The 27738-nt window shown below is 37.8% G+C and overlaps 2 protein-coding genes across 14 annotated transcripts, besides 4 other annotated features; one reads left to right on the plus strand and one right to left on the minus strand.

Annotated features, from left to right (window-relative positions):
• LIG4 (DNA ligase 4) lies at positions 750 to 11657 on the minus strand. Of its 12 annotated transcripts, none has more exons than NM_001352600.2 (4): positions 11470 to 11657; positions 8792 to 9051; positions 7846 to 7918; positions 750 to 4604 (listed from the first exon to the last, which is right to left on the minus strand). In NM_001352600.2, the coding sequence occupies exon 4, from the start codon at positions 4574 to 4576 to the stop codon at positions 1841 to 1843; it is 2736 nt and encodes a 911-aa protein (NP_001339529.1). In that variant the 5' UTR covers positions 4577 to 4604; positions 7846 to 7918; positions 8792 to 9051; positions 11470 to 11657; the 3' UTR covers positions 750 to 1840. The 12 variants fall into 12 exon arrangements, with proteins under 12 accessions (NP_001339529.1, NP_001339527.1, NP_001339528.1 ...); NM_001352598.2 differs by having other exon boundaries at positions 7870 to 8026; NM_001352599.2 differs by having other exon boundaries at positions 7846 to 8026.
• Positions 8769 to 9063: an enhancer, noted in NCBI's record as "tiled region #13792; HepG2 Activating DNase unmatched - State 1:Tss, and K562 Activating DNase unmatched - State 1:Tss". NCBI's record gives its function as "activates a minimal TATA promoter and a strong SV40 promoter by Sharpr-MPRA in HepG2 and K562 cells {active_cell/tissue: HepG2 | K562}" and the evidence as "EXISTENCE:reporter gene assay evidence [ECO:0000049][PMID:27701403]".
• Positions 8907 to 9046: a silencer, noted in NCBI's record as "silent region_5494". NCBI's record gives its function as "represses an Ori minimal core promoter by ATAC-STARR-seq in GM12878 lymphoblastoid cells {active_cell/tissue: GM12878}" and the evidence as "EXISTENCE:reporter gene assay evidence [ECO:0000049][PMID:35858748]".
• Positions 11373 to 11702: an enhancer, noted in NCBI's record as "active region_7987". NCBI's record gives its function as "activates an Ori minimal core promoter by ATAC-STARR-seq in GM12878 lymphoblastoid cells {active_cell/tissue: GM12878}" and the evidence as "EXISTENCE:reporter gene assay evidence [ECO:0000049][PMID:35858748]".
• Positions 11700 to 27551, plus strand: ABHD13 (abhydrolase domain containing 13). 2 transcript variants are annotated; one of them, NM_032859.3, is made up of 2 exons: positions 11700 to 11967; positions 22507 to 27551. In NM_032859.3, the coding sequence occupies exon 2, from the start codon at positions 22527 to 22529 to the stop codon at positions 23538 to 23540; it is 1014 nt and encodes a 337-aa protein (NP_116248.2). In that variant the 5' UTR covers positions 11700 to 11967; positions 22507 to 22526; the 3' UTR covers positions 23541 to 27551. The 2 variants fall into 2 exon arrangements, with proteins under 2 accessions (NP_116248.2, XP_011519430.1); XM_011521128.4 differs by lacking the exon at positions 11700 to 11967 and adding an exon at positions 12048 to 12255.
• Positions 11983 to 12222: a silencer, noted in NCBI's record as "silent region_5495". NCBI's record gives its function as "represses an Ori minimal core promoter by ATAC-STARR-seq in GM12878 lymphoblastoid cells {active_cell/tissue: GM12878}" and the evidence as "EXISTENCE:reporter gene assay evidence [ECO:0000049][PMID:35858748]".
• Positions 27552 to 27738: the final 187 nt, after the last annotated feature.

Consider the following 27738-nt stretch of genomic DNA (forward strand, 5'->3'; position numbering starts at 1 on the left):
TGTGAAATACAAAGACTCTTAAAGAGGAAGTAGATTGGCACCAGTCAAAAATTTTACTGACACCTGGCCGGGCACGGTGGCTCACGCCTGTAATCCCAGTACCTTGGGAGGCCGAGGTGGGCAGAACACGAGATCAGGAGATCGAGACCATCCTGGCTAATATAGTGAAACCCCGTCTGTACTAAAAAATACAAAAAATTAGCCGGACATGGCTGGGCGTGGTGGCTCACGCCTGTAATCCCAGCACTTTGGGAGGCCGAGGCGGGTGGATCACGGTCAGCAGATCGAGACCACGGTGAAACCCCGTCTCTACTAAAAATACAAAAAAAAAAAATTAGCCGGGCACGGTGGCGGGCGCCTGTAGTCCCAGCTACTCCGGAGGCTGAGGCAGGAGAATGGCGTGAACCCGGGAGGCGGAGCTTGCAGTGAGCCGAGATCGCGCCACTGCACTCCAGCCTGGGCGACAGAGCGAGACTCCGTCTCAAAAAAAAAAAAAAAAAAAAAAAATTAGCCGGACATGGTGGCGGGCACCTGTAGTCCCAGCTATTCGGGAGGCTGAGCCAGGAGAGTGGTGTGAACCCGGGAGGCGGAAGTTGCAGTGAGCTGAGATTGTGCCACTGCACTCCAGCCTGGGCAACAGAGGGAGGCTCTGTCTCAAAAAAAAAAAAAAAAATTTTACTGACACCAAAAAAATCTATGTGATACAACTATTATGAATTGTTTTAAAAAGAATAGAACATAAGAAATTATTTTAATAGTGCATTAAATATTTTATTTAAATTAAGAAGTATAACAAAATCACATACATTTGTTCCACGGTTTGAATAAAATTTCCAATAACTTTCAAATAATGCACACATAGTATCGCATGGATCAAATTCCGTACATTTCAATATGGTCATGAGATAGGCTGTATTCCAAAATTTGGTATATAAATCCATACATAATATATACTATATACATTGACTTTAAATAATCTAACTATGTCATTTTTAAAAGTCAAAGCAACTTATTTCTAATGAAAGTTACAATATGCATGCCATATTGACACCTATTCAATAGATAAAATCTAGGAAAATCTTTTTTGTGAATACTATTTATACTGGAATGCAAATTCACATAAAAATACTTCCTTTAAAGCATGTTCTATTTCACACAAGAAATTAAATGTGAGCTACTTTTAAAATTGCAAGCTTTATTTTTAATCAAACCAATTCAATTTTAAGTTTTTAGATCATTAAGTCTCATACAACTTCCTCTAATTTAGCTAAAACCATCGACAGGGTTTTATTGTTACATTTGGCCTTAACCTTAAAAAACAAATTTGTTTACATTTCATATTTAAATGGGACATTTTAAACCCTGAGTAAAAAGACATATTTTTACAAGTCCAGCTGTAACAATTCTACCCTATTTTCTTGCAGTGCTTTTATTAGATAAAAACTATTGTTAACGTTTTGACTTTTTAGAATATACTGTTTAGAAGGTTAATGCTTTTTCATGACTTTAAAAGTTTCTAAATGTATTTTATTAGTATCTAAGTAAAAATTCTAGATTTCTATATGGATATTATAAAAACACCTCTTCTTTAGACTGTTTATTTCACCTTGATCATAAAAAATCATTGAATACTACATTCAAGATAATTTTTCTTTCTTGGCTTTGGGCTATTGTCTTTTCAACCTTAAAAGTTAAAATTATTGTTTTCCTATATGTAATGATACTTTTTAGGCATAGATTTTTAAGATACAAAAATAAAATGTAGTTTAGTATTTTATCATTACCACCTGCTGCAATGAGTCTGCCAGATCAGAGGCTTTCCTCACTAGGAAACCTAGCTTTAAATCAAATACTGGTTTTCTTCTTGTAATTCACACTTGTCTATTGAATCAGTTACCCAACTTTCTTTTAGGATTTTAAACTTTCTCTTAAAAGTTCTTCTAAAAGCTTTAAAATCTGCAACACGACTATGATCTTCCCCAATTATTACATGAGACACTCCCTCAGCTAAACAAGAAACTACTTTTGCTCCATGAAACCGAAGCTCCAAGGCTTTAATAGCTAACCTTGTCCCCTCATTTTTGGTACTCAGGTCATTAATAACAGCATACGAGTCCAAATAAACGGTGTGGCGTCGAAACATACTGAGAGGAGAGCAATCCCAGGAATACCGATATTCTAAATCAGCAATCAGAGAAGCCATTTCTTCAGGAGTCTGCTCGTTAGAATTTTTAATTCCTGAGAATACTTCCTTCAGTTGGTTCAAGTCTGTATCAATGAAATAACTATCACCATAGCAATCATATTCACGGGCAAAATGTTCTTTGGTTGATGGGCACATATGAATCATAAAGCGAGGCTGCCATGGTACAAAGCTTTTGGTCTTAAAACATTCTAAAAGCCATGCAGGCTTGACAACATCATGTTTATTTGACAAAATTATGTTTTTCACTCTGATGTTCTCAGACCCTGCAATTACACAGTACGTGTCTGGGCCTGGATTTTGTACTATATAACCACCAAATTCTGCAATTCTGTTCTCCAGGTCAGGCTTTGGCTGGCTATCTGTTCCACTCATAACACAAAACTCTACATCTTCAAATATATTAGAAATTTTGTTAACGTTAGTAAGGTTAGGTGCTTTTAAGTGCTCAATAATTCCAATAACTTTCTTCATCTTTGGGGCAGCTTTCCGCTTTTTTTCTTGTGGTTCATCATCACCACCTATATAAAGGTGTTTAGATGCGAGCTTACCAGATGCCTTCCCCCTAAGTTGTTCTAGGTCGTCCAGGGTCATGCACTCATGCCACTCCTTGTCATCTCTTATCTTTTCAATTCGTGGAAAACGCAAGGTGCAGCCAGTTTTATACATATCACTGGGTACGATCTCTGCTGCTTTAATCTGAACAATGACAGAATTACAAGGTTCAATGTATACTTCTGGCTTCTCTGTTCCACATAAAATGCTGCTTGGTGGAGCTTTTCTATGAAAAGGCTTCCAATACTTGGCCAATTTCAAACCCAGATCATACAGTTCTTTCATGGTGCAGCCAGACCCAACACGAGAGAGAGTATGAAACACAGATGGCTTCTCACCAGGAGGGGGCTTCTCTGCTACTGCACACAGAAAATGAGACATCATTCCACCCCGTGATCCTTTACCCCAATATCCTCCAACAATTAAAATGTCCAATTCATCCATTAGTCCACTGACATACTCTGGTTTAATTTTTAACCACCCTTCACCTCTTTTGTCTGGCTTGTAGATGGATAGAGGTTGTTTTACCATAATTCCCTCTTCTCTTTTATCTATTGCTTCATTCAATGCATCAATTACTTCATTCTTAGTATGAGCTTGTGTTTTCTGCACTATTTCTATTCTACCTGGAATTGGTGTAAAAATACTACTAAGAATCTCATACCTCTTTCTCAGAGTCTCATGCCCTAGCTTTTTATTATTAACCATCAATACATCAAAAACACAATAACAAGTTTGCAGATCAGAATCCTCTACCATTCTTTTAATATCAAACTTAGTTCCCTTTTGCATGAAAGTTTGTGTATTAGGATTATAGGCCATCATCTCACCATCAAGAATACAGATTTGTATATCTGCTTTGAATGCATTATGAATGAATGGGGTAAGAGAACCTTCAGTAGGAGAAGCACCAAACTGATCAGTGTAGTTATATCCATTTCGAGAGAAGTATTTATATACATCTCCATCTTTGTGCATTTGCATACGTTCACCATCTAGCTTGGTTTCTATGTAGAAACTCTGATGTTTCATATCCTTCTCAATGTGCTCAATATCTGCAATAGCAGCTAGCATTGGTTTAAATGCAGAAAATAAAGTGATAGAAATATCACTGAGTCCTACAGAAGGATCATGCAGTTGCCTACAGACTTTTTCCAGATCTGTAGTGACATTATGCAACTCAGCAGCATCATTATGAAAAACAGAAAAGATAGTTTGCTGACTAACACCAAGCTTTAAATCCTTTATGATCATCCGTATAAGCCACTTTTGCTCAAGTGCTGAACTCTGAGTTATAAGTTGAAGAAGGCTCTTTTTTATTAGGTCTTTTCTTTTAGCAGAATTATTGCTGGCAATTGAGTCTAAAAGGTCGTTTACTTGCTGTATGGTTAAACTTCCTTTCTGTAAACATCTTGGCTTCAACACAAAATATGCAATCATTGCAAAGTCTCCAGCATCTCCATGAGTTCCAGTGGGTGTTCTGTAGTTTAAAAGTTTGAGGGCATCTTTTCCATCTCTAGGTAAATTAAGCAACTCAATATAAAGCTTAGCAAGCATAGTTTCTTTAATTCCATAGGCCATTCTCTCTCTTTCTAGCTGAGGAAGAATTAGTCTCATTGCTGGATAAAAAGAGTCTGTGACATCTTTGTGGTTCTTATGAAGAGCATCATGAAATTTTCTCCAAGAATCTAAAAATTCCCTGAAGTGTCTGATTTTTTCTGCACGTCCTTTACTTTTCTGTATTCGTTCTAAAGTTGAACACAAATCTGCAAAAGGAACGTGAGATGCAACAGTTTGTGAAGTTTGTGAGGCAGCCATCAAAGCGGTGATGAATCTTCTCGTTTAACTAGTAAAGCAAAAAGAGAATAACTTTAAGTAAAAGATAAGATTCAACTAAATATTTAATGTAAAGATCTTACAAAGATCACTGAGATCATAATAAATGTTTATTAATGTTTACTAAAAAAAAGATCAATGCTCTAAATGATGTATCTTTTCAACCTCTACATTTAATAACTGTTTTGCTCCAACCCTAATTTGAAGTTATTATGAAAAGTATCATCAGCTATATAGCTGTATTTCCTGTATTTATAATACAGAAATCATTTTAATTTTCTCTTTAAATTCCAGTTATTCTATGTATTAATTATTTAGCACATAATACAAACAAATATTGCTAATAATGGTGACAAAAAAACTCATCAGGCTTAATTCACTTCACTTCTGAGCTTCTGAGGGAAGGCCTTTCATGTATGTCTCTTCTTTCCCTGTCAGACTACCACATAGCACCAGAAATGAACTTGATCTTCGAACAGATATTTTTAACAAATCACTCATTTGCTGAACTGAAATTTGACTTCCTAGAAATCCTAATCATAGGCAGGGCCCTTGACCAAAAAACAAAACAAAGGAAAAAACAGGTACCCTCTTCTTCCAGCCAAACAAAGCCTACGTCTATGTTTCCTTTCACTTCTTCACTGCTAGCTATGCCAAATCACACCAGCATTCGATTCCAACTCAAAATGCCCTACCCATAAAATCCTCACTTTATCTATTTTACCATAGTTACTTACTGTCTTATAAGTATAAATTTATTAGTATGCTGCTTTTTTCATATTTCCATGCCAGTTATTCCCTGAGTATTTAATGACTACATATGAGATGTGCTACATACACTGTGCTAGGGGAAAATACTGCATGTTTCTGCTTTAAAAGAAAATATATTCTGTAAAAAAAAAAAAAGAAAAAAAAGAAAAGAAAAAAAGGGGGGGAGTGTAGTGGAAACTGAGTATAATAAAATGCCAAGTGCTTTAACAAAATAAAACAAACGTAAAATGTCCTGAGGGGAGAGCTTTTCCCTAAAGTATCTGCTAAAGTCAGAGAAGAAATAATGGGTACCTTGCTAAGCTAGGGCAAGAATATTTCCTAAAATTTCACAAGTGTAAATTTCTTTAGTTTTAAATATTCATACAAGTTCTACTGGAAGATAAATATATTAGAGTAATTTTAATATGGTTTAAACTATGTAATGTTAAATAACTTTTCCAAAAAAAGATTTCAAGTAAAATGTATGGTCCATGAATAGAAACTATGTTTTATCCTGTGGTTTCAGACCCCTCCTGGCACACCACCATGTATCCCAGGCAGTGGAGTTGGAGAAGTTTTGCTGGGAGTGGGGAGATCTATTACAGTGCAGAAAATATGTGACTCCCCATCTTCCAATTCGCAAACAAATGAGCAACACACACATGCACAAGGCTACATTATCTAGTATCCAGTAAAATAAATCAAATGGCTAATTACAATACTACATTTACTATACTGTCAGTATCTAGAGGCCAGGAATTGTGCTGTAATTTGTGCTCTAGTGGCAGACATGTAGGAGGTTTGCTGAATGAATTACTGAACACCTAGAGTTGACTCCTGGATAAGCACACTAGGGAAAGCTATGGTCTGGTTACATACCACACACTCACACACGCACGCAGACACACAGTGGGTGAGATTCAGTTTGGTTAAAAATATTCAGTAGCTCTGACTGCCCTGGCAATGGTTTACAACAGCCATTTGGTGGCCTATAGAGAAAAAAGGTGCACTTCTCAGTCTAATTTCTGACAAAGGAAACCCAGCTTCTACTGAGTGGGTTAGATCGAGGGATAAACGCATGACAGACCACTTTCCTGAAACTTTTATCTTTGAATATACTGTTGTTTCCTCTCTCTGAATCTGGTTTGCATAACTGACTGTAACACCTGGTTATGTATGTTCACTGCCCTATCTCCCAAAATTTGCTCCCTCAAGGGAGTAAACAGGGTACACAATGCTATATCTACAATTTCTATATAAACTATGTAAAATAAAGTAGGTTAACTAATATTTCTTTAATATTCAAATATTGGTATATAGTTTCTACAGATATATCTATAGATTCTACATGGTCTCAAAGTTAAAGTTTCGCTCAACAAATCCCAGGCAAGGACTTAAATTACTTTATAATGACAAAATGTAGGTAATGGTGTGGATACACATGTATCCTAAAATGGCTACGCCTATAACAAGGATTCCAAAATTGCCATAAACTAGTCGTAAGTATTTTTGCTCATTACAACGGCATAAAAAGTCAAAGATTAGGACTTCCATTCATTTTTACATGCTAATTTTATTTTTTGGATTCTGAGGATTTTAGCTGATTCATTCCATTTGCAGTAAGACAAATGAGGAGGTTCCTGGTTAGGGCTCAGGTTTTAGACTCTAATAAATCTGAGTTCAAATGTGGATGGTAACATTTAACAGCTGTGTGATACTGGGCAATTACTTAATTTCTCTAAGCTTCAGTTTCCTAAAGTATAAAATGGGGTTAAAAACTATGTAGAAATTAGAATGAAGATAAAAATCAGATAATCTACAAAATGTGCTTTAAAAAGTAGTAAGTCTTGATAATTTTAATACTATAATGCTTGCTGATCCAAGCAACATTTAAAATATAAATATTGCAAAATATTAACGAGATAAAAAGGTGGGAAGAAGCTTCACTCTTTAACAATAAGCAAAGCTTTCAGGAGAATGAATGCAAGCAATTAGTACACAATAACGATTCATCATTCATTCAGTTCTGACTAAATTGTCCTGAAGTGACACATGAAAATAAACCGGCAGGTTTTATTCAGTGACTATGGAAGGTGATTAAGTGCTATGCTATTGCACTTAAAAAAGAGAGAGGAAAAAAAGGAGTAAGTGACGAATGCAACTGAAGTATCCTTCATGCAACCCTTGACAAGCTGTGTTTCCCTAGGAAACAAAGGGTTTACAGCTGCCTATCTTCCACAGCACTTAGTGACAATTTGGGACAATCTCAGCAAAAAGAAATGAGCAGACAAAGACGCTAGAAGGGCTTTGGGATCCCAAAAGTTAATGAAAGACCAAGTGTAAGAAGAGAAATAAAGTAATTCCCTCCAAGCCTAAAGTCTCTCCCGCTCCAATGCCCCCTGTACCCTCTCGGAAAATGGAAAATCCCTAAGGAGTCTACATCATTCCTCTGCCCGTTCCCCCTACTCTCCCCCAACCCTTCACGGATTCCCAGTGAATACCTGGCCTCGGGCAAGCTCCGTTACCTCTGTGAACCAGAGAATCCCAGCTGTAAAATGAGATCTTGATGGTTTCCTGCGGGGTTGCCATGAGAAAGAATCAACATGTACGCAGGTAAAGCAGGCAATACAGTTCCAGGGAGTCAAAAACGGGAGAAATCGTCCCACGACCTGGGGCTTGGGTCTAGATGAAGAGCACAGCATCAGGAGGCCAGGCTTCTAATGCGGCGCAGTCTACAGCGCTGTGGACTCGGCAACTCCCATCACCTGCCGCTGCACAAACACCCTGCTTGCTGCCCCCATAGACCGACCCCCGCCTGACGCCTCCCAGACCCCCCCACCTGACGCCCCTCAGGCCCCCCGCCTGACGTCCCAGACACCCCCACGACCGGATCCCCCAGACCCCCAATCTGACGCCCCACTTCCCCTACTTGACTCCCCACACATCCCCCGCCTGACGACCCCCCGACCCCCGCCTGACGTCCCAGACACCACCCATCTGATCCCCCAGACCCCCAATCTGACGCCCCACACCCCCCACTTGACTCTCCACACACCCCACACCTGCCACCCCACGTAAACCCCGCCTGACACCTCACAGACCCTAACCTGACGCCCCACAGACCTCCCCCGCCTCCTGCCGCCACACACACCCCAAACCCCGCCCCGAACACCCCCCACCTGCCGCCCCACAGATTCCCCCCTCTGACGCCCCACAGACCCCCAACGTGACGCCCTACAGACCCCAACCTGACGTCCCACAGATACCCCGCCTGACGCCCCACAGACCTTCCCCCGGTCTGTTGCCCCACAGACTTCTCGCCGCCTGCTGGACCACACCTTCCACTTGACTCCCCCCACACCGTCAATCTGCCACCCCCCACCCCCCCCACCCCAACCCCCCCCAACCTCCCAACCGCCCCCACCTGCCACCCCACACCCTTCCCACCTGACGTCAAGCCTGAAGCTCAGCCGCTAAGCCGGAAGCTGGCGCCAGAAGATGCCGGTTCCGCCAGCTGCTCGCCGCGCAGGCGCAGGGGAGACCCGGGGCCTTGCAGTCACCGGGCTCAAGCACGCCGGCGCAGCCAGGCTCGCGATGGGAGGTGGGGGGGCCGGCAGCCCCGTGGGGCTGCGGAGGCGGGACCTGCAGGATCCTGGTTAGGGTCTTGAGTACACACGGCTCCTATTGGCCTCGGCAGCAGATGCTCTCTGCAAGCAGTTGATCCACACGCCAGTGGATTTTGTCTCGAGGGAGACCTAAGATCACTTTGTGCTCTGGCTAGTGATAGCCTCTAATTCTTGTTCTCTGTACGTAAAACAGTGGTAACTATACTGATTTCGCTGGTTGTGAAAACTCCCAAGAGAGAACAGGACATCCTCCCAACTCAAAACGTTGGTTGTTTCATTTAAACTTTTAAAAAATAGGCTTTTGCAAACTATATAGAGCTGTTTTTTTTTTTAAATGATGTTTGCTACTGTGGTCTCAGTTCTCTTAATACAGAAATAATACATAACAATACATAACTTACAATATAGAAATAAACCGTTGCATGACCAGAAATCAACTATGGACTCTTCTAGTATCTGTTTAAGGTTTAAAAATAAAGTTATTTAACAAACCTTTATTGAGCACCTATTATTATATAGTAATGGTGCTAGATATTCAGGGTGGAGAGATTATAAACAACCCCAGTTTTTGTGTTCCAGGAGCTGTTGGTTTCCACCGAATTTTTGCTGTGGTCAGTCCTCTTTCGCCATGGAGAAGTGAGAAGTTATTCATAAAGAGGGGTGGAAACAACTTTTAGAACTATTTTATTTTAGCATAAAATATTGCTTTACAATAAAATAAATTTTGCTGCAGTGGGCCCTGATAAAACATATTAGAGCTGTTAAGTGCCCTTAGAGGTTGTGTAATGTATAAAAACCTCCTTTTTCAAAACTGACACATTTCATTCAGTGCTAGTTTGTAGCGGAGGTTCCGTCTAGCCCAAGAACATTCAGTTATTTACTTCGTATGTCTAATTGACCTAATATGCCTGAATATCTAAAATCATCTGTGATGTTGTAAAGTCTCATGATATTGTTTTGTGAGTATCTGCTCTTCAATTTAGTTATCAATTTATTTTGGAGGAAAAATGAATAGTGTTAAGGTAGAGGAGCCTCCACTTGCCCATCTTAGGAGAGGGTACCTATCCGTGTACATTTGTAGCTTGTTCAACCTCTACTGAGCTCCTACAATGTCAGAAGCTGGACTTTGTATTAGTTACATGAGAAGAACCATGAATTATGAAACCAGGCAAACTCCAAATTGATTCAAAGCCCAGTCTCCATTTCATCATGTTATTTTAGTTGATTGGTTCAAAGACAATCAAGGGTTTTTTTCACTAAGTATCTTCTAGAGTTGCCATGATTATTAATTTATTTATGTAAATGGTCTACTTTATATATGCTTGGCACTTATTCCGTGATCAAGATTAGGAAGCTATGATTCAAGAACCCAGCTTTGACCTGGAGCTCTCCATCTGGTAGCAAGACACATATGTTCAATAACAACAACACCACAGGCCGGGCCAGTGGCTAATGCCTGTAATCCCAGCACTTTAAGAGGCTGAGGTGAGCGGATCACTTGAGGTCAGGAGTTTGACACCAGCCTGGCCAACATGGTGAACCCCCGTCTCTACTAAAAAATACAAAAATTAGGCCGGGCCTGGTGGCTCACGCCTGTAATCCCAGCACTTTGGGAGGCCGAGGTGGGTGGATCACCAGAGGTGGGGAGTTTGAGAGCAGCCTGGCCAACATGGTGAAATCCCGTCTCTACTGAAGAAAAATACAAAATTAGCTGGGCGTGGTGGCGCATGCCTGTAATCCCAGCTACTCCGGAGGCTGAGGCAGGAGAATCGCTTGAACCCGGGAGGCGGGAGGTTGCGGTGAGCCGAGATCTTGCCATTGCACTCCAGCCTGGGAAACAAGAGCGAAACTCCGTCTCAAAACAGCAACAAAACAAAAACAAAAAGTAGCGGGGCGTGGTGGCGGGCACCTGTAATCCCAGCTAGGTCAGAGGCTGAGGCGAGAGAATCGCTTGAACCAGGGAGGCGGAGGTTGCAGTGAGCCGAGATCACGCCATTGCACTCCAGCCTGGGCGACAAGAGCGAGGCTCCATCTCAAAAGGAAAAAAAAAAAAACCCACAGATTTATGAAATATCCTCTGTATATATAAAATAGGGGACATAGAATAAGGAAAGCCCAAGGGAGGGGAGGCACACATCTGTAAACAAGTGTGTACACTTCAGTGCACAGGGGGGTTGACAGCGAAGCTAATGAAGCCCAAGTTTTAAGGGCCCATTTTTGCGAACACTTCCAAGGCCTTGAGAGGGGCCCTAACGAGGTGTTCCCATGGTCGTGTACCTCGGTAAAATTTGCAAAAATAAGACAATTTTACATTATTTTTCTTTAAAAGGGCTCTCCAAATGGCACAAGGTTCAGGCCTCACAAAACCTGCATTCGCCCTTGACAGTCCACTCTCGTAGAGGTAAAAGGAGAAAAATAGTTATGGAAGCGCTTTAAATCGTGGACCTCATTGCGACACCCTTAACAACCCTATCAGGCAGAACAAATTGCTCCGCAAACCTGCGGCTTGCAGAGCGATGGTGGACTCCCGAGCTCATCGGGTCCGGCACCTCTTCACCACGGAGGCCTCGGGTACGGAACTGGAGGGAGTCCTGGTGCTCGGAGGAGGGTGGAAGGCCAAGATCCCTAGGTCCTGGAGCAGGGAGCCGGGCCCACGCCGCCGAGGTATCTTTTCCGTCCGGGCCACCGTCGCGGGGGCTCACTGGCAGCGGCTTCTGCGCATGCTCGGAAGAGCGGGCAGGGTTCCCACTCCGGGAGCGGAGACGGAGAACAGGTTATGTGGGAGCCGGCGGGGGCATTTGCCGGCGACACCCGAGCGGGGGCCGGAAGTGGGGCCACAGCTCGCAGCAGGAGCTCCGGGCTAGACCGTGGCGCCGGCAGCGGCCCCTGGGCTGGAGGAGGATGATGAGGAGCGACGGAAGCGACGCGGGGGTACGCTGCTGCGCGGCGCCCGGTTTCGTGCCCGCGGCCGACTGCGCAGCCTGTCCGCGAGTCTGAGTAAGTGCGGCTCGGGGACCCCGAGCCCGCGGGGCCCGAGCGCCGGTCCGCTCCTTCTAGGAGGGTCGCGGGGAGCCGCCGGCTCCTCCAGGCGGGCGCGAAACCCTCCCGGGAGGCTGTGGGGGGAGCCCCGGGGCTAGTGCGGCTTCCCCTGGGGGTCGTGCGGGGGCCGAGCGCCGGGGGTTGTGGAGGACCAGCCCGGGGTGCAGCCCTGCCGGCCGCCCCGACTCCGCTCACCACTCACCAGGGGAAGCAAACTGAAGCCAAATACCTGTTTTGGAAACTAAGGTGCGCGCATTGCCAGAGGCTCGCCGGGTGTCGTTTTGTAATTGGAACCTAAAACGTATCTTAGTGTTCTATGTCAATTGTATTTCCAGTAATGTGTACAAACCTAAGATCCCTAAAATCCAACCCTCCGCTCCCCCACCCTCCCACACAGACATGAAAAGTAAAATAGAATAATTCCAGCTACTAGGTTGGAGAGAGGGAGAGCCCCGATCTAATCACGACAGTAACAGGTTTAGACCTGTGAATATCATGACAGGAAGTTCTGGGGTTATTCAGGAAACATCAAAAAAGCACCCCATACAATCGAAGTCAATTTTGCTGTAGATTTTAGTCAACATTTAAGTAAAATGAATTACTAGTATTACTACCCAAGGTATCGAAACCAAAAAAAAGTCCGTCCCCATTTAACAACTCTTATTTATGTTTACTATGTGATAGTAACTGGATAGAAAGAGATGAGTATATTGGCTTTGTGTGTTGATATTGGATTTTTCACTGATCTCTTTTGACGGGAGGGGGTTCGTGGATCAATACTTATTTGTATGCATGCTTAGGGAAATCACTCGTCTTTGACTAAAATATCAAATTTTATTTTACTGTGTAAGATTTCTTGATTGCCGATTTAGTGTTAATGTCATGATATCCTACCTAAGACATCAGCTGCTCAATTAAATAATCGTTAATAGAGGCCCACTATGCATCAGGCACTGCTGCGTACAGAAAATGTAGAGTTGAATAGGACGAGGTCTCTGTCATCGAGGAACTCACAGCCTGTGTAAGCAGGTTAATTACGCTGTAATAGTAACTTCTGCCACGTAAGTTTGCACAAACTACAGAATGTGGAATGGGTGGCAGGAGGGAATAGGGGTCCAAGGAAAGCTTTCTAGAGGATCTACTACCTGAGTTTGGTTTTAACAGAGAAAGAGTGCATTGCTCTGATTACTTCCTGTGTTCAGATACGGTACCTCTAGGGAATCATATCCATTATTTGATCTAGGACTAATAGGGCTTCTAGTTGTCCTTACTTTCACATACTCTGCTATAGTACATAATTAAGTAATTTAAATTTTGTCTCATAGAAGTAGCTGCACTTAACACACTATTACATTTTATCTCAACAGTAGTTCAATTTAATCTTTCATCCTCCTTTTACATACGAGGAAATATATATTTAGAGAGGCTAAGTGAGTTGGCAAAAGCTACCTATCTCTTAACAGACCATGACTCAAAACACTGTCTCCTTTCCATTGCACCACACTGCCTCCCACTGACAGTTAACTTGGAATGATTAAAGCAAGCCAGGTACCTACAGGTAGCCCTTGGCACACTGCCCTCTTCTTGGGCACATCAAAGACCTCTTGGCATGTGGATAAGAGGGTTTACTAACCAAATTGCCCTGGGCTAACAATATAACTTAGTGATAGGTGCAGGAAACTGTTGGATCTAACATTTTCCCATGATCTCTTCTCATAACTTATCTCAGGGGAATCTATTTCTGTTTCTCTGTTTAATGTATTACCCAGATTCTGAAATCTTTCTAATCCTTGTTTAGTTGCCCCAGGAAAGTCTTAAGACCTTTAAATAGCCTTTTTTCGTGTGGACTTAAAAGATGCTCTAGTTCTTCTAAGTAAGATATTTTTCCTCAAATGACAGATTTTGTAATACATTATTATATTTTATGTTTCTGTTTCACATGGTGTGAACTCCTACAACAGTATATTCTGCTGAAATCCCTTGCAAAGATGTAGTATTTCCAGTACAGGGACTACATGCATTTATGAGCTAGCCTGAGAATCTAGATACTTCTAGTAAGGCTTCTAGTTGTACTTACTTTCACATACTCAATGTTATATAACACTGGTTTTATACAAAACAAATATTCTAAGTTTCATCCATCTAGTTTATAGGTAAAGTTTTAGAACATTGCCCATTTATAAATTGGAAACTTTGTGAATTTCATTATCAGTCTAACATCACTACAGTTTTAGGCTAGTGGATTTGTTTTAAACATTTCAGATATTTATAATCTCAGAACAAATTGTGGTTGGCTTCCATAGTAACAATAATCTCTCATTTTACTTCTGCCAGAGTTGACTCTATTTGCCAAGATTTTCAAGCATGAAAAAGCTACTAAGTAGCTGCCTGGTATAATTTTTGAGCTATCTGCTCATACAGATTTAAATCCTAGTTAAAGATGCTGTCTGAACCATCCAGTTATTATCCAGCATCTCCATAGGCAGTTACTGTTCATTTGTCCCATAGGACTATTAATACACACTTTTTCATTATTGATGGCATGTGGGTAACCATTAGGGAAATAGATAATTCATTCTGTGGTGTCTCCAACACCTTGATAGCAGCTATTTGTGTTTCCATTTCAGCTGTGCAGCTGGCATGGTTTCTTAACTTCCCAATGCTTAACAGAAGAGGAGAGAGATTGATATAAGAATACTGAATCTGAGTTCCACATTACTTCACATGTGATTGGAAGCTGTGATTCACCCAGAGTAATTAATGAGCCCATGGGGTGTGGGGTCCTCATTCTCTGCTGGGATGTGGATGTCGGCATTGACACACGAACTCCCTTTCCACTTTTTACAGTCTTCACTTGAACCTGCACATTTTTTTTAAATGTATGAACAGTTTTTATTTTTAAACAAGCTGTTCCCAAAATTATCAATCTAGGATGGACTTAAAGATCTTTAAAGAAATAATAGTGCCTTTATGACTTAGGACTTTTTAATTGTATTTGAAATTGTTTAGCCTTTTGCCAAATTGTTTTTCGGAAATTCATTGTAATTCACTATGGGTAATGCACTTTTTTGTATTTTTAAAAGACCATTTGCTGGTGGCAGAATCCGTAACTCGATATACAATATGCAAAACAATGTACACTTTTTTTTTTTTTTGAGACATAGTCTCACTGTGTCACCCAGGTTGGAGTGCAGTGGCACGATCTCAGCTCCCTGCAACCTCGACTCCTGGGTTCAAGTGATTCTCATGCCTCAGTCTCCCTAGTAGCTGGGATTACAGGCACGCGCCACCATGCCCGGCTAATTTTTTGTAATTTTTAGTAGAGACGGTGTTTTACCATGTTGCCCGGACTAGTCTCAAACTCCTGAGCTCAGGCAATCCACCTGTCTTGGCTTCCTAAAGCGCTAGGATTACACGCATGAGCCACCATGCCTGGCCCAATGTACACTTTTTAATTAAAAATAATTAGAATAACTAGAATTTAATTTGTAGGGCAGTTCTGACCTTCATTAAAATACAATTTTTATTGTAAAATGTTATCTATGATACAATAGATTTGTCTAATTTATTCTCCTACTAACCTTACGGCAATAATTACAATGTATTTACTCCTATACTTTTGAGTTTCAGTTCTTGATATATATAAGTTTTTATTTATTTTTAGTTTTTGGAGAAAATATTACTGGGTAAAAACCTTAAATATATTTATATATGTTATAATGCAGAAAGGATTTAAAAAAATGTAATATATCTTTCTTAATTTGAAGAAGGCAAGTCTCTGGGGCATAAGGCAATACAGTTATATGGTTAAATAGTATGGAACCGTGGTTCTCAAGCTTTTTGGTCTCAGACCGTTTACATTTTAGAAATGTAAAGATCCCAAAGATTTTTTTGTATGTATGTGGATTATATAGATATTTATTGTGTTAGAAATTAAAACTGGAAGTTTATAAAGTGTATAAATTAAAATTGGAAAACTGGAAGTTTATAAAGTGTATAAATTAAAATTGGAAAACTGGAAGTTTTAATTCATTTAAAAATAGCAGTAGTAAGTTCATTACATACTCACATAAATAAAATTTTATATAAAACAATTGTAATTACAAAAAATAGAGGTGTGGGATTATATTTTTGTAATTATCTTTAATGTCTGCCTCATAGAAGACAGGCAGATTATTAGGCTCTTAAAGTGAAACATGAAGAAAGTCAGGCTCACACAAATTTGTAGTTGTAAAGGGAAGAGTATTGTAGTAGAGAATTGTGGGTACTCGTTGGTACGACTCCATCACCCAACAGGAGGCACTTCCTTAAAGGTCAGTTATATTGTGCCATCTGAAACCTACATCAGAGAAATTGTTGTCTCTTGTTACATCAAAATCTGTTGGTTTGTAGTGAATTTTTTACTCACGTTTGCTTGATTTTGTGACACCATTCATTGGTCATTTGGAATATATTGGTTTATGGAGTTATGCAGATTTTTCCAAATGGTGACATGTTTAATATTAATAGATTACCACAGTGCCATCAAAAAGGTCCCTTAAGTGTCTAGGAGCTATTGGCAACCTCATTCATTTTCTAGTAAATATCTGCCAAACCTCTAAGTCTGAACAACCATAGTTTGTCAGTTGTCTTTTTAAATAAAAATGTTGTTACCTGAACAAAGCAGCTAGTTCAGCTCACAATTCAAATGTATTTCAATACATAGCACAAAATGCTTTATGTGCACTTCCAGTGTTGTCACACATTTGTCACACAATGTGTTAAAAAGATGTGTACTTGTTAGTTGAGATAAAATAATTTTTACTGCTTCTTCTTTGACATTCTTAAGTAAAACTGGATTATTCCCTCATTTACCGTGAGCTCATGGTGATAAAGAATACAGTGACTCCAACACGTGAGGCCACTACCTTGATTCTTACAAAGGCACCAGCAATTTTACCCATCATTGCTTATGCATCATTAGTGCAAGTGTCAAACAGTGAAAAAAGTAAATGATATTTTAGTATTATTATGAGCATAATACTGATCTTGTGGACCCCATTAGAGGGTCTTGGGGACCCTCAGGTTTCTGACCACCTTTTGAGAACCACTGGCATAGAAAGATCTCAGATTTAATAGAGCCCTCAAAGTTCATCCAGTTTAACAGCTCTAAATTCCTCTATGCTATCCTTGCCAAGTATTTATTTAGATTATGCTGAATACTTGCAGTTTCTGTGAATAATCGTGCTAAATGAATAAAAATAAGTGTCACAGACAGCTGTTTGATGGAAAGTAATAGAGATTCTTAATCCTGGAGTTATGTTTTGTCCTGCTTTTAAAACATTGCATAAGTTTCCACTTGGTTTCTCTAAGTAATCAACCTTGATGAAATCCAGAGACTACTAAAATTATGTTGTGAAGGAAAGATACAGCTAAGGTTTTGATTTTCCTTTGCTATATGTAATGACAATTGTCATCTTTCTTTGATTTTTCTTTGTCTGCTCTATAATTAAATGAACTTACGTTAGGTATGTAGTTATTTATATCCATATCTGTCTCCCGAGTACCTCAAGAGTTGCTTGAACGTTACTGAGTAGATCACAAGCTACTTGAGAGCAAGGACTGTATAGTATACTAGGATGCATTGGAATCTGATGACCATCTCTTACGGAAGAGGCTGGGAAATCAACTGTAGGCCTGCTTCAGTGGTCCACGCTGGGTTTCACAGCTCCCCTGGGAGCCTGCAGTGATATTCTGAGGACTCATACCATTCGTAGTGGGCATGACTTCAATATTGATCTCTTTTTCTAAAGCATCAGTTTATAAAATAGTTATTTAAATGAAATATTTTTCCTTAAAAATGGAACCATTCGTGATCCTATATGAACACAGGAGATGATTAGTAGACATCAGAGAAGCATGGCCATCACTCATGCCCTTAGCTGACTTACCATCCAGCTAACACTGTTAGCCAGCAAGGTGGTCTGAGAGCTTTACAGTTCTAGACGGCTCTTATTTTTAGTCTCAAATTGTTTATTGTATACCCGTCATGGACTTAAATTTAGAGACAGTAAGTAGGGAGCACTAGAGGTGACTACAACCAGCCAATTAGGACCATAAATCCTCAAGATGAGCACCATATATTAAATTGCATCAGATGATCAAACTACTTATGTAGTATAGCAGGATGTCACTAATACTGCAAAACCATTCTTGTAAAAGGAAAACAATCATATCTAATTTATACAGTACATGATAATAAAGATTAGTTATGCTTTCAGTAGATTATTTTTTGAGACACACTCACTAATATCAATGTGACACCTCAAACCACTTCATTTAGAAAGCACAAAAGTTGTTTCTAAGGTTGATTTTTTTTTCATTCAAATACAAGACTGGTACAGGTTATAATAAACTGTAATACTTAAATCTTAGCTACATATCCTGGGTTTTTAAAAAATGTATTTGTTTACACATCATGCTTTTTTTGTGTATAATTAGCATAAAGTCTGCAAAACGTTGGGAAGGGAGCAGGATGTGTTTAGTTTTGGATAAGTTTGAAATATCAGTGAAGCATCAGGTACGTGAGGAACAGGTAAATTGAGATTGTAGATGAAGAGTAGACTTGTAGATTGGGAATAATTCATACACAGGTGTGATAATTGGAGCCATGAAAAGGAATGAAATCACTGAGGGAAAGAACATAGTATCCTAAATGAGTGGAGAAGACCTTGGAAAATGCCTGCTTTTCGGGGTATAGGGCAGAGAGAAACAGCAATTTGAGTGTAGAGGAGAAGCCAATAGCAGATGACACTTTGGGGGTCTGGTGTTGCAGTGTGGATTGAGAAAAATCCACTAGATTTATTTTAAAGTGAAGTTTACATTGTATGAGAGATCATTATGAGAAGTCAGTCAGCAAGTTCTCAGATAGTAAATGGTTAAGGAGTTACTGGCGGTGGTTAAAACCACAGATTGGTGGGTTTTAGAAATGTCTGACATGTAATACCAGATCTGATAACATAGCAAACAGAAAATTGAGAAATGGGACTGTCAGGTATTCATTTAAGATGTAGACATAAGGTTAAAAATACATACAATAATGATGTAAAAGAAGACTGGAAGATGAGAAGTTATTGATTATCTACATTTCTATATTCTACATGGAACAGGTCTAATTGGCTCTCCTACTCAGCAGCCCTTCTAGTTGGTATAAGTTTGAGTGTATTAAATGCATCCTTTTTCCTGATTTTTATGATGCCAAGATGTTATCAGCAAATGGATTTCACATGCAGAAGAACCCAACAAATAATACATCTCCTCTGAAGACACGTTTTATAGGTGTTTTACCACATGGGACATACTTGATTGCTTCACTCATTCTTCATGACTAGTAGCAGTGGTCTTGGGGTCAATTGGACATTGATACTCACAAGACCCAGTATACCATAGTGGACCGTACTGTGCATCAGCCTTTCTGCTTTTTTGAAAACCCAACATGTCAGTGTTAGGTATATTGTTCCAGATGATAGCTCAGGTCTAGTGGAAAATGACACAAGGGTGGGAGTGAGCACCACCCTGGCTTAGCTGCTTCATGCTCCACAGGAAACAGTGTCTTTTTGTGACAGCATGTGAGTATAGCATCCAGGACTAAGCAAATGACAAGCCAATTACAGGTCGTATTCAATTCAGAAAAGCCCCTGTTTATACTTCCCACTGGGCATGTTTAGCCCTGCTCACTGTCCTCTCAGTCCAGATGTAGCTCATCAGTAGGAGCCATTTTTACTACACTGTTGCTTAGAAACACAGCTGATATCCCACCTTTATCAGGTTTCCAGGGAAACAGTGCAGGAAGGTTAAGGAGAGGTCATTTTTTATCTGAAGAGGGAGAAAGGTTTTGTTAACCGTTTACTCACACTAATTTATTGACAAAATCAATAGAAAACATAATGCTGGCTGTAGGATCCATGCAGTCGACTTTATTAGAGGCAGTGTTTGTTTCTATTGACTGTCATAACATCTGGGTATGAAGTTGTTTTTACATCTCAGCAGATGGTGCATGGTAATTATGCTTTGCTGATACTTTCAGCAAATTCAGTAAATTAAAAATCCTTCCTGATATTGTTCACTTGTCCTGGTTCCTTTAAGATCACCTTTGAGATGGAAATATATATCATACAGACTAGGGAACAGAGATTATTAGCAAGTGGGGTTAGGTAAAAATAAGGCAATCCGTGAGTGGAGTTCTTACTCTAAACCAGCAATATAAGAATATGTTAAGGAGAAAACACACCCATACCCACGCACTCCGCCACCCCAGAGCAATTTTTATTAACCTGTTCTTAAAAATGACTTCCATTTGATATTACTCAAGATGAATGGACTTTTATTCCGACTTCCATAGTGCAACAACTGATTGTGAGATTATGATTGTTTATCACAAAACAGTTTAGTTAATGTGACTTTTCAGGAATGTTTTGTGGAAAACGGTAAGTTTATCCCTTATTATTCCTAGCCAGTAATAGACCCAAACAAATACGCCCATTTTTCTGATGTTGTTTTAAACATATATGCCCACTGCTCAGAATACTTTTTTTAAAATAAATTGAATAATTCGTATATGTAATTAGATTATTTTAAAAATGTTTTAGTCGTAAGTATATATAAAGTGCTGTACTAGATATTAGAGATGCAATAGTGAAAAAGAGATATACAATTCCTAGTCTTATAAATTTTAATTCAGTATTTGCTAAAATTAGATGTTAGAGGCTACTAAAACGAAAATAACTTTTCAAAGTTCATTAGTTGAAAATTTAACTATGTAAATTGATATAAATGTAAATATAAGATTCAAATTTTAAAATATGCCTTATTCGTGTATTTGGAGCTATTTTATCTGGTTTTATATAATTTTTTAAGTAAGAACTAATTTGAGCAGAACACAGTAAGAAAGTAGTAGAGCCAGAAATACCAGTCACAAAAGCAAATAAAGTTAACATGTCTGTAACATTTATGAATGATCTCATTATTAATCTTACTTGATACTAATGACCAGCCTCATAGGTAAGCATTTTAAAAACTCATTCTACTGAAAAGGCAATTGAGACTGGAAATAAGTGATAAATAGTTATTCAGGGAGGATGTGATACTGTAATAAAACTTGCTACCACTGGGTGGCAGTGTTGATTTCTGGGAAATCAGAAAAATGTTGGTTTATGCTCAAAAAGGTTCAGTTCATTTGAATAATAATTCAAATGTAAAAGTCTATGTTTAGTGAAATAATAGAAAAAAATCAAATTTGTTAAATCATCCAACTCATTATTTGTATAATCAATCTATAACCTCTTTATAGCAGTTTGGTCAGTGGGAAAGAAGGAAATGTAGTATTTTTAAAAGTTCAGTAAATAAGCATAAGTAGACGAATAGTACATAAGAAAATTTGTAACATATCTCAATTCTTTTGCCTTTTTAAGACAACATGTATAAACCTTTTGATAACAAAAAATTCTCTTTTAATAGTTTTTACTTTCTTTATATCAGTTAACATATTTTAGTAATCTTTTTAAGAATTGTTCTCCAGTGAGTCATTTTACTTTATTTATCTCTGTTTCTCAGAGGATTTCTGTGTATTTGTTTCACACTGAACCCTCAAGTATTTATTGCCTTATCAATACATTTTAGCAATCTATTGACCCCAGGACGTGAAACTTCATTAAAGAGTATATAAAAGATACTGCCGATCTCATGACACTAGCAATATGATATTTATTTTTAATTACATATGAAAGATAAATCATTAATAATTTTCTTAAAACTAATACAATATTAGAATCTAGTGTTTAAGCAAATTATTTAAGTTTAGTATTAAAACTTCGAGGTAGAGGGGGGATACTTTTATTCTTTCTTTCCCTAGTTGTTTTTTTTTGTTTTATTTTGTTTTGCCCAACTCCTTACCCTAGTTTCTTTAGTTTTTGCTACCGTATGTGAAAAAAATTGACAAAGTATATTAGATTGGTCTTGCTATGTTGGAATTTCTGAACTGCCTTTTCAGTACAGTTTGCCCTGGACATACGTAACCTAACAGCAGATGTACCACAATCTCTAGAATCATGCTTGTTTGCCTCCCAGCTCTTCTACATTGAGAAGCAGATGATAGCCAGTCTACTTATGCCCCTGAGCTTCTGTTTTCTCATTAAAAAAAAAAAATGACACTATCGCATCAACTTTTTTTGGGTCAAATCCGTGAGAACACGTATATGAAGAATAAGCACTTGTTAAAAATGAGTTAATTTGAAGAATATTAGTGTTTCCTAAATATGACAGTGGAGGGATATGGTAGAAAGGAAACTGTTGAGAACAGAAAGGACAAGGGAAATTATAGCAGCTACTTTTGTGGATGGACTGTACCTATTACCATATTTAACAATTACATGTGGCCTAGTACCATAGTTTATTATATTGTGGATTTTTAAAAGAATAGATAGACGTTGAATTATTGATATTCTCCCTCTCTCTCTCTAGGATACTTACAGAGAGCTACAATGGAAAAGTCCTGGATGCTGTGGAACTTTGTTGAAAGATGGCTAATAGCCTTGGCTTCATGGTCTTGGGCTCTCTGCCGTATTTCTCTTTTACCTTTAATAGTGACTTTTCATCTGTATGGAGGCATTATCTTACTTTTGTTAATATTCATATCAATAGCAGGTATTCTGTATAAATTCCAGGATGTATTGCTTTATTTTCCAGAACAGCCATCCTCTTCACGTCTTTATGTTCCCATGCCCACTGGCATTCCACATGAAAACATTTTCATCAGAACCAAAGATGGAATACGTCTGAATCTTATTTTGATACGATACACTGGAGACAATTCACCCTATTCCCCAACTATAATTTATTTTCATGGGAATGCAGGCAACATAGGTCACAGGTTGCCAAATGCATTACTTATGTTGGTTAACCTCAAAGTTAACCTTTTGCTGGTTGATTATCGAGGATATGGAAAAAGTGAAGGAGAAGCAAGTGAAGAAGGACTCTACTTAGATTCTGAAGCTGTGTTAGACTACGTGATGACTAGACCTGACCTTGATAAAACAAAAATTTTTCTTTTTGGCCGTTCCTTGGGTGGAGCAGTGGCTATTCATTTGGCTTCTGAAAATTCACATAGGATTTCAGCCATTATGGTGGAGAACACATTTTTAAGCATACCACATATGGCCAGCACTTTATTTTCATTCTTTCCGATGCGTTACCTTCCTTTATGGTGCTACAAAAATAAATTTTTGTCCTACAGAAAAATCTCTCAGTGTAGAATGCCTTCACTTTTCATCTCTGGACTCTCAGATCAATTAATTCCACCAGTAATGATGAAACAACTTTATGAACTCTCCCCATCTCGGACTAAGAGATTAGCCATTTTTCCAGATGGGACTCACAATGACACATGGCAGTGCCAAGGCTATTTCACTGCACTTGAACAGTTCATCAAAGAAGTCGTAAAGAGCCATTCTCCTGAAGAAATGGCAAAAACTTCATCTAATGTAACAATTATATAATGTTTCCCTTTTTGATTATTGCATTGTATTTTAATTTGTGCAGAATGATAAAGAATGTTCCTTTTAGAAGTGTGTTATGTCTGTACCTGTCTGAAGAGTGACATTAAACTTTGAAAGGACTTCACTGCTCCTTTACGATATTCCAAATAGTTTTTTACATTGGAAAAACTAATTCTTGGGATTCTTTCATACATTTTCATCAAAACTTTCAGTGTGATTATGTATTCATATCTTCAGTTTAATATGTCAGTATAATAGATATTGTTCAAAAGTTTCTTGTTGCTAAAGTGGTGTAATCTGTTACACAGATGAATAGCTAGATGTGGAAAGAGATATGTAAACAAGAAACCTTTGGGTATTGTTTCTTAAGTAAATATTGGGACAATCATGGTAAGCAAACTTAGTTCTGTAACTGCATTTTTCACCTTAAAAGTTAAATGAAATGCATGATGGTATTTTATTCCTTGAATTATGCAATGCAACATTTTACATGTAAATAGCACTGGTCATATACTGATGTATATGGTTATCTGGGTTATATCTATTTTTATGTAAACTCTATTTTGTTTTTGGCAAGAAGTGAAATTGAGACTTATGTGCAGGTTGCCATTGAATTTTGCTCTGGTGAATGCTGAGATCCAGCTTTTTCTTACAAATAAATGGGACCCTGTTTTCCAATACAAATGTACCGTGTTTTTGTTAGGTACAGTCTGGATCATGGCATGTAGAAATAGAAATTTAGAATTTTACTGCAGCTTTGATGTGCATATTTGAACTTTTTAACATTTGTAACTTTGGTGGCAAAGAGAATTTTAGCTTCTATCGATTTTGTAAGTCTTCAGCTGAACCACTAATAGCAGTCATAGTGAAGATTAGCACTACTTAGAATTAAATTAGGAAGTCTTTTATCATTGCAGGATTGTACATACTACTTTATAAAAATTCTCACCTTTGATTTTAAATCCCAGTACCTAGTTATATCTAACCTATCAAAGGCAAGATATCATTTATTGGACTTCTTGAAAATAAAAGTTACAAAATCCAACAACAACAACAACAAAACAATGTTCTTGGTTTTAATGTTCCAGTTGCTGTGAAATAGAACTCCTACAATCAAAAGACAGTTTTAGGAAGTCTTATTTATTGATTTTAAAAGTTTTACATGTAGGAGTGTGGGAATGAAGGAATTCTGGAGCTTTTTGACACAAAACCTATTACCACATTTAGCAGTTAAATGGCTATAGGTGGGAAGTAGGATTTAGATGTATAGAAAAGTAAGAAAATCTTACTTAGAAAAAAGCCCCTTGAAACTTGCAGGATTTACTTAATAAAAATACACGCTATGAGTCATAATTGTGCCAAGTTGTTTCATGCAGTCCTCAAAAATTAGATGTAATTGAGCTTTGTGTAATATTATGTCAGCTTTAACATATAATATTTTGAATATTTTAGCTATATTTAGTGGCTTTCTGCAAGCAACTAGAACAGAGAAGTAATGGGTCAATAATCTTGACCTTAATTTAAAACTTTCAATGGAGATAGGGCTAGAAATACTTTTGCCAAATAGCATTCTTATTCACTTTATGCCGGTATTTAGAAAAAATAAATTATAGCAAGTATGATTTCTAAGAATGTTTTTCTATAAATTACTAATTGTAAAAAGTCTTGCTTTTTAAAACAAGTTGGTAATGCATATCATGGAAGGCATATTTTGTATGTATAAATTCACCACAATTAAAGATTATTCTTGTCAGTCCTTGCTATGTAGAATGACTATTCTAAATATTAATGTATTAAAAAGAAAATACAACAAAATGTATATTTAGACACGAGCTTACATGGCATACCTTATATTTGTATCATTCTTTAAAGTTTACAAAAAAAAACCTTATGTTTTTATGTAATCAGTCATTACACTAGGGAGAAATTTATCAGCTTTAGTTCTAAATATGCTCATGAGGTATAAAAGCTATTTCTTCATCAGTATTTTGCTTTTATGCTGCTTTTTCTTTTTGATACTCCAGGTTTATAAACTATCTTTTAAAATTTTAAGCCAGGACTTCAAAAATTGTAGAGTACTTGTTTGGCGTTCCCTACCTTCATTCTCTTAGGGTTAAGGAGCCTTTCTTTCTGCAGCTAAGGGCAGAGGCTGTGCCTAGGGCTATACCACCACTAGCATCTGTATTTGAGACTGTTTCCTTAGATGGGTAAGAGGTGGAAAACAAACTTAGTATCAGGGGTCCATGAAGCCCATGGCATCATTTTTGAAAATATTTCTAGTTTTGTAGCCAAAGCAATTGGTTTTAGTAAAATGAGACTTCTTCAGGAGTCACTCCTTTACTGTGGACCCATTGCTTAGTGGGAATGGAAGTATATGTATCTATCTTGTGTATTAACTTCTGACTTATTTATACAAGAGCAGCTATAGGAGTTTACAAAAGAACTTTAAGTTATTAAGTTACTATAAATTTGGGGATCCTAGAGTGATCTTAAATATGGCAAGATACAGCTCATTTAGAATAAAATCTCACATCCATTATTTTAAAGGGAATGATTGGGGGGAAAAACTGGTGAAAAAGAAATATAAAAAGGACCCTAAAAAGAATTCTGCAAAATAAGAGAAGAAATAATTTGTGACAGGTAATAGAATACTAGTAGGATAGAAACAACTAGAAAGGAAAGTGTGACACAGTTTTTAAATTTAGATGTAGAAAATAATGAATTAATGAGATTGGTGAAAGGAAATCATGCAAAACATTTGAATGCAAAGCATTTCTAACAAAAAGTGACTGGAGCACTTGCCATTGCAACAACCCTGTTTTTGCAATTAGGTTTTTGACTGTTAAAATGGATATTTTCATAAAAATGGTGTTCTGAATTTTGCTACAGGGCTGCTTAAATTTATGATTACCTGTAGACACTTGATATTTACATAGATTACAGCTTTGGTAATATGTCACTGGAGTAATTACGCTGTAATACCTGTTGAGAATTCATACCATCTGATGCTTATATATTAATTTCTTATGTTTGTAAGTTTGGCTTTGTGGGAATAGGTGTGGAGAAATTAAAGAGTGAAGGCCATATTTCATTTTTTATAAATTATCTTTCAAGCTCAGATAGCTTAAGAGCAGTTTATATTAAGGAGACCCTTTTCTCCTTGAGGATAGGGATAGGTAAGGTAAACTTGTAAAAAGGATGTCACAGAAGTCACTTTTTAATTAAGTCATGATTGAGATACTGAACTCTTCCACTCATTCTTCTTTCCCATTTTCCTATTATGTTTGATAATTATATGTATTTTTAAAAACTGTGAGAGGAAAAATTAGTCATAACCCTTTTGGGTTATCCACTTAAATTTAGGTATTTTCATATTACTCAGGTAAAGATGGAAATGACAGAGCACAGACATTTATTTTTTAAATTGATAGGGTAGAAAATGAAATGTACTTCTGTTTATTCTTAATACTATATATATATATACACACATAGTTTTAGCAAATTGGAAATAATATATTCATTTGTATGGCAAGATAAATGCAGTCATCTTAATACTAGTCTATACATTTTTGCCAAATGGCGCAAATATACCTCCATTTATATTTTGTATCTTAAAATGTAGTTTAAAAATAGGACCATGTATGAGACACTTTTTTACAAAAAGTGCCGTATATACATATGTAACAGGTGAGTGTGTGTTTAACATAATTTATAATTATTTCTGTCAGTACAGCGTATATGGAAAATTCAAGTTGTTTTTAACATATTCAAGTATGTTCAGTATAAAATAAGTTAATCCCATTTCATAATGTAAATCATATTTTTGTTATTTGCCATATTTTATTTGAAGTGATAAAATTTTATAACTCAAATTTGAATGTCATAGTACATTGTGTGCTAACCATGGCAAGCAAACATTTACATTTGTTTTTTACAATAAATTTCTTTTAAAATATACTTTCTATTTTTCTGTACTGACATATGCAATAAATTGGTACATTAAAAATTTGATTAATGTCTTCAGATAGTTTGTATTCAGTCTTTTTTTAAAAATTGTTAATCTAGAATTTTATGGTAGGACATTAAAATTTCTTCAATGGTTACGTAAAATTCCTGAATTTGCACTGAAATTAATGAATTTTATTCTAGTAATGGTGTGGATAAAAAATAGAAGTTAGATTTATATTTCCTTCCCCGG

Source organism: Homo sapiens, chromosome 13, assembly GCF_000001405.40.
Source record: "Homo sapiens chromosome 13, GRCh38.p14 Primary Assembly".
Taxonomy (NCBI): domain Eukaryota; kingdom Metazoa; phylum Chordata; class Mammalia; order Primates; family Hominidae; genus Homo; species Homo sapiens.

Coding starts and splice junctions, on each gene's coding strand:
- LIG4 (NM_001352604.2), bottom strand. CDS start 7,933: ATGGCAACCCCGCAGGAAACCATCAAGATCTCATTTTACAGCTGGGAT. Junction 4,525..7,845: donor CGGAGCTTGCCCGAGGCCAG/GTATTCACTGGG, acceptor TTCCTTTTGCAG/ATTTGTGTTCAACTTTAGAA.
- ABHD13 (NM_032859.3), top strand. CDS start 22,527: ATGGAAAAGTCCTGGATGCTGTGGAACTTTGTTGAAAGATGGCTAATA.